At 52.9% G+C, this 6,117-nt stretch overlaps 1 protein-coding gene across 18 annotated transcripts in view, besides 3 other annotated features; it reads right to left on the reverse strand.

The window, feature by feature from the left end:
* CYREN (cell cycle regulator of NHEJ) overlaps window positions 1–5,577 on the reverse strand; it is an 80,167-nt gene extending 74,590 nt beyond the window's left edge. For 2 of the 18 annotated variants that reach the window (XM_017012595.2, NM_001243751.2), the window contains exons 1-3: window positions 3,760–3,815; window positions 1,857–2,168; window positions 840–915 (exon numbers count right to left, since the gene is read on the reverse strand). In XM_017012595.2, the coding sequence (XP_016868084.1) occupies window positions 880–915; window positions 1,857–2,030 (210 nt within the window). In that variant the 5' untranslated portion in view covers window positions 2,031–2,168; window positions 3,760–3,815 and the 3' untranslated portion in view covers window positions 840–879. Of the gene's footprint in view, window positions 1–4; window positions 916–1,856; window positions 2,169–2,529; window positions 2,583–3,383 lie in introns of those variants that run through there. The other 16 variants (NM_001305630.2, NM_001305629.2, XM_017012591.3 and 13 more) reach the window with 15 other exon arrangements.
* Window positions 2,126–2,255: an enhancer, noted in NCBI's record as "active region_26707". NCBI's record gives its function as "activates an Ori minimal core promoter by ATAC-STARR-seq in GM12878 lymphoblastoid cells {active_cell/tissue: GM12878}" and the evidence as "EXISTENCE:reporter gene assay evidence [ECO:0000049][PMID:35858748]".
* Window positions 3,346–3,955: a silencer, noted in NCBI's record as "silent region_18676". NCBI's record gives its function as "represses an Ori minimal core promoter by ATAC-STARR-seq in GM12878 lymphoblastoid cells {active_cell/tissue: GM12878}" and the evidence as "EXISTENCE:reporter gene assay evidence [ECO:0000049][PMID:35858748]".
* Window positions 4,336–4,555: an enhancer, noted in NCBI's record as "active region_26708". NCBI's record gives its function as "activates an Ori minimal core promoter by ATAC-STARR-seq in GM12878 lymphoblastoid cells {active_cell/tissue: GM12878}" and the evidence as "EXISTENCE:reporter gene assay evidence [ECO:0000049][PMID:35858748]".
* Window positions 5,578–6,117: the final 540 nt, after the last annotated feature.

Consider the following 6,117-nt stretch of genomic DNA (forward strand, 5'->3'; position numbering starts at 1 on the left):
AGGCTCAACATACGTGTTTTATTTCCCTAACATGCTGATCTGTCAGTAACACAGGATGTATCTAGAAGCAACTACAAAGCCAATGTGACCAGGCCAGGCAATGTACCCATATCCTGAGCACCCACCCTCTCTTCACCCCACTCCTTCCCCTGACCCCCTCTTCACAGCTCTTGAAGAAACCAGAACCCACTCGGGAGAGAAGCAAGCAAAGGCATGAGGATTAGCTGAGGGGAAAGGAAAAAGAAATGGAAGAAACATGTCTAGAAAGGCCGGTGACAGAACCCAGGATACAAAACCTGGGTGTGGGCCCATGCCTTAGCACTAGGAAAAGTCCCACACCACAGGGTTATTGCAAGGCTAAAATGACATAACGCATGCTTTCAAGGCACCTGGTAAACTGTAGAATGCTGTGCAACTCTGAGGCACTGCAATTATTACTGCAGGAAGCTAGGAAGCTCAGCATCCTCTGCTCAGGAGAGGGGCAATGGCTAAGAAGTCATCTACCCAACTGGGAACCTTTCCAAGAACACAAACAGGTAAACGCTTCATGTCCCATCCACATACACACCAGTGCACAGTCACGCTCTCCCTAACACACACACGCCCTCCCTAACACACGCATGCCCTCCCAGGCTTCTAGCCTCAAAGACACCCCACGAGCGCACACCCACATGGGGAGAGGCCTGGGCAGCATGGCCGAGATAAGAGCAAGGGAAGTGGCAGGAGGAAGAAGAGGTAGCCTACGGCAGAGGGCGTCTCTCTTACTGACGGTGACCAAGGGTCTAGCCTCTGCCCATGCAGAGTTTCTGGTCATGAGTAAGAGGCTTGTCTGACTTTACCTCAATCAGGATTCCCAGAGCAACATCAACTATCTCAGCCTCATTCATGCAGTACACAGTCCTTGTCGCAGGGAGTCTGAAAAAAAGACATGCAAGGCACAGATGACACAGACTCTCAAGTCTCATAAGGGCAAAGAGAACAGGAGAAGCAGGGCCTCTTCCCCCTGCCTTCCTACCACGCAGGAGGTACCAGCACCTCTGAGCTGAGGAGCTTTCTGACACGGACACAATTTCCTCAGCCTTGCAGCCCAGTGACTGGCACAGGGCTTCATGGAGGCAACACCGGGGTGCCTCCCACCCTCCACCAACTGCCCTACAAGGATCTGGAAGTAGGGAAGGATGGCCGCCTCTGAAACACACACATGGATGCAAGAGGAAGGGAACCTCGGGCTGAGGCTGTACTGAGAGGAACCTGAAAGCAGGACCAGACTTAGGGAAAGACGGCAGCAGTCACAAGGGAAGGCTGTCAGTCAGGAAACCTTAGAGGAGGAGGAGCCAGAGAGGGAAACACCGAGTGCTGGGGCCCCGCCCACTTCACAGTGCAGCCTGGAGACTCACCACCCCCCCCCCGCCCCCCCCCGGCAATTACCGTCATTCAACTAACTCACTCCCCAGCTCCTTAGCTCTTGCTGGCCCTGCAGCTGCTGCTCATCTGTCCATCCCTAAAGGTCTGTCCACAGGGGCAGGCACCACTCAGAACAGACCCTTCCACTGATCTTGCCCATCTGATGTTACCATGTTTGTTGTAAAGGAAGAGACTGGCATTCTGGACAACTGGCATCAGAGACTGGCTGACATGGAGAACCCACTCTGTGTGTGCTGAGGGCAGGGCACTCACCAGTGCAGAGGCAGAAGTGGGTGCCTGTCCTCGAGGGTTAACCCGCTTTGCCTCCCGCCCACAGCCCCTCCACCTTCTAAAAGCTCAAGAGATGATCAGACTGAAACACCCGCCCATCTTGCTGTTCTGCCTAGGCTGGAAGACCTGGCCCAGGTCATGGAGGCCCCTGCTCCACTTGCCAGATTCGCAGGAGTCTTCTGACCAGAGCTGTCGCACCTTGCTGCTGCCACTGGCACTGCTGCCATTCTCATCCTCTTGGGGGCCTTCATTGGTGCCACATTCTTTGTAGCCACCTGGGCTGTCAGCCATGAGGGAAGGACCCTCGTTTTAGTCTCGGATTGTAAGGTTTCCATCTCTGTACCTTCTCACAAAGAAGAGTCAGGGCCCAAGCTTAATGACCTGTTTTTTAATTCAGGAAGGTAAATCTCGTTCTCTCGTCACACCCGGAATTACAGGTCCATTTGTCCTCAGTGGGAGTTGATCTTTGATTCCTACAAAGAACAATAAAGTCCGGTGAATTCCCATACCTCCAGTCATCAGGCACAGTTACTGGTCGGTGCAGGGCAGGCCAGAAGTGACCAAGGCCCAAGAGACTCAGACGGCCATTCACAGGCATCAGGCAGGTGTGATTGTGGGCAGGACAGCAGCTCAGGAGAGAGCCCTCTGACCTCCCCAAAGCTGGTGCCCCCTACAGGCAGCCAAAGCCAACCAGAGATACCTCCTGCAGCCTCTGTGCTGACTGACTCAGCACAGGAGGAACGGAAGGAGGCGGAGGCCCCTAATGTTCCTTCTCATTACCACCCCAAATGCCACTGTCCTCTGGGTGCCCAGCCCATTCAATCCCTAAAATACCTCTTAATGGCCTCTCCCTCATCTGGCCAACTCGATTTCTCTACTCTTCTATGGTGGCTCAGTTAAATGAAACTGAGGGCATTTTATTTCACAATAAAGTCTCATTGGCCAACACGCCGCCCTTAAGCTAAAGATACTTCTGATTGGTCAAACTTGAAGCAGCAATAGGGGCCCGGAGGCATTAACTGTGCCAGTCTGTAGATTCTGAAGCCCACGCCAGCCTCTGATCTAGTTTGGCCTCTCTTTTCCCTATCCCAATTGTTCTGCCTCCACTCAGCAGTCCTGGAGCTCAGTCCTCACCCAGAGAGATGGAGTTGTGACTCAGAGGGCCTAGGTCTCTACCTTCCACTTAGGAATCAAGCCAGAAGCTCCTGAAGCGGAGGTTTGCCCAAAAAAAAGAGTAGTCAGCGATAGTCCTCTCTGAATCATAATTTGATAATGCATTGCTCATCCAGATGGCTGTTTACAATTTAAGAAAAAATATTACCAGGCCCTCCTCCTAACCTGCCCGGCCATGGGGCACACCTTTGCCAATGCACCTTCATTTCTGTCAAAACTCAGTGATATTAGTGACTCCTACCCCCTAAGGCGCCTCCCAAGCGCAATGCTGCAGTCTGTGCGGACAAATTTAGTTCACCCTGGGGTGCCTATTAAGTACATTTCGCAAACGAGGAACTGAGACTTAGTTAACTTGCAGAAGATCACAGAAAAGTTTGAAATCAGCTGGTTGGATTCGCAGCCAGGTCCTGCAGACTCCAGACCCCGCGCCTCCCCGCCCTACTTCTGGGCCCCAAGAGCAGGCCGCGGCAACTTCCAGAAGCCGGGTCTCTGGGGCACCGCGCTCGCGGACCGACCTCAGTCCCATCCCAGCCGCTCCCTGCCTGGGCAGAATGGGGGCCCCGCGGGAACGCGATGTGCTGCCAGTTCACAGCCCGCCCTCCCTCTGCGGGCCGGTACCCGCCGCTGGCGGCGCCGACCTGTGGGAGGCCCAGAGGGCGGGTGAGTGCGGAGCGGAAGGCGCGGGCGAAGCACCGCAGGGGCCTCGCTGACCCCGCCACACGCCGGGCAGGGCTGCAACGGCTCCTTCCGACTGGAGCGGCCGCGCGCTCCTCCGGCCGGCTACTGGCTTCCCTGCTCTCAGGTTCCCGTCTCCGGCTCTCGTGCCCCTTCTTAGCTTCCAGAGCGGAGCCGGGAGGCAAATTCCAAGCGGTTGTGGGACCCACGCCTCACCCGGAACTTTAAGCCCTGCCGTCTCGCCTGGCGCCCAAACTCTGCGGACCTCCACTGGCCGCCCGCCTCTTCCGGCCCCGCGCGCTCCGGGGTCCCGCGGGCTCCCGGCCTCGGGACACTTCCGGTCTTGGGGAACTCCCGGCCCCCTCGCAGTCCCGGCGCCCGGGACACTTCCGGCTCCCGGCAGCTGCCTCAGTCGGAGGTCCGCGGGCGCCCCATGCTGGCAGTGGTAATGCCGCCGGCTGGCATCCGGTTGGCTGCGCGCTGGGAACGCCAGCGAGGCAGCGCCACCGGCTTGAGGAGGGTGAAAGTTCAATTCTTGGCCCCTGAAGTTAGCGGAAGGGAACGGGCATGTTTTGGAAAGGCCCGCCGGGAATTCCCTCAGAAACCAGGCGAAGCTCCCTGCTGGGCCAGGCCCCCCTCGTGTGCTTGAGGAGGATGGGAGCCCGGCCTCGGTTTGTTATCCTAATTAAGTGGAAAATTAAGAAAATAATAGAATAGCGTAAGTACTAATAGTAAAATTATAGTAAGAGAAATAACAATAGCTAGAATGGAATGAATTGCTGTATTAACCAAGGCTAGAAAGAATTTCAGCCCTCCGAAAGTTAAAGCGAGGGAAGAGAGAGACCCTCTCATATTGTTTTATACTCAGTACCTGTTTTTTTTTTTTTTTTTAAAAAAAAAAGGAAGTGAAATCAAAGACAGGCAGCCCAGCGCCAGGCCCAAAACTGGACCTGGGCCTGCCTGGCCTAAACCTAGTAGTTAAAAATCAACTCATGACTTAGAAACCGATGTTATTCATAGATTCCAGACATTCTATAGAAGAACATTGTGAAACTCCCTGCCCTGTTCTGTTTCTCCCTGACCATCGGTGCATGCAGCCCCTGTCACGTACCCCTTGCTTGCTCAAATCAATCACGACCCTTTCATGTGAAATTTTAGTGTTGTGAGCTCTTAAAAGCGACAGAAATTGTGCACTCGGGGAGCTCGGATTTTAAGGCAGTAGCTTGCCAATGCTCCCAGCTGAATAAAGCCCTTTCTTCTACAGCTCCGTGTCTGAGAGGTTTTGTCTGTGGCTTGTCCTGCTACAGTCCTTGGTTCCCTGACCAGGAAGCGAGGTGACTGACAAGCCCTGTGGAGCGTCCCTGCAGAGGACTCCGGCCAGCCTGACTGACGCAATCCAAAGAGCGCTCCCGGGTAGGAAATGGCCCCGGTGGAATGCCTTGCCAGAGCAGCGCATAGCAGGCTCCCGAGAAGGATTAACACTGGCTGAACACCGGGAAGGAACTGGCACTTGAAGTCCAGACATCTGAAGCTTGTCAAGACTAGTTTTTGGAACTTGCCCCACTCCATGTGAGTGGAAGCATGGCCTGATCACCCACGGTGTGCCTGTATTGACATCTTTGTTCTGGTTTTGACTTGGCTTGACTTGGTAAGACTAGTCTTTGGAACTTGCCCCACTCCACGTGAGTGGAAGCGTGGCCTGATCACCCACGGTGTGCCTGTATTGGCACTTTTGTTCTGGTTTTGACTTGGCTTGACTTGGTAAGACTAGTCTTTGGAACTTGCCCCACTCCATCTGAGTGGAAACGTGGCCTGATCACCCACAGCATGCCTGCATGGGCACTCTTGTTCTGGTTTTGACTTGACTTGAATTGCTGGATACTTTGGTTTTGGTTTTGACTTGGCTTGAATTTTTTGGTACTCGGATTTTGAATTTCGTGATTTTGGTTTGGTATAAACGGTAAAAGTGTGTGTGCCCTCTTTACCTGTTCTTTGTCTTGTGGTATGTGTGGTGTGAGCGTGGTATTTTGTCTGGAAAAAAAAAAAAAAAAACATGGGTCAGGTGCAAAGTAAGCCCACCCCACTGGGACCTATGTTAAAAAAATTTTTTTTCAAGAGAGAATTTAAAGGAGATTACGGTGTTAGTATGACACCAGGAAAACTTAGAACTTTGTGTGAAATAGACTGGCTAGCATTAGAGGTAGGTTGGCCACCAGAAGGAAGCCTGGACAGGTCCCTTGTTTCAAAGGTATGGCACAAGGTAACCTGTAAGCCAAAGCACCCAGACCGGTTTCTGTACATAGACAGTTACAGCTGGTTTTAGACCCCCTTTCCCCCACCACAGTAGTTAAGAGAACAGCAGCATAAGCGGCTGGCAGAGCCAAGGAACGACCAGAAAAGAGAAAAAGAGGCCATCTGTACCAATTCTAAGAGTTTAGACTAAACAAGTTCTTATTAATAGCAAAGGATAATTGAAATCTCAAACTTACAAGGTTTTCAACAAAAGTGAAGTTTGCTAAAAGTTAACAGTGTAACATGTATTTTGGTAACTTCTAATCTTGTGGCCTTAGACAG

The sequence above is a fragment of the Homo sapiens genome, chromosome 7, assembly GCF_000001405.40.
Source record: "Homo sapiens chromosome 7, GRCh38.p14 Primary Assembly".
Taxonomy (NCBI): Eukaryota; Metazoa; Chordata; class Mammalia; order Primates; family Hominidae; genus Homo; species Homo sapiens.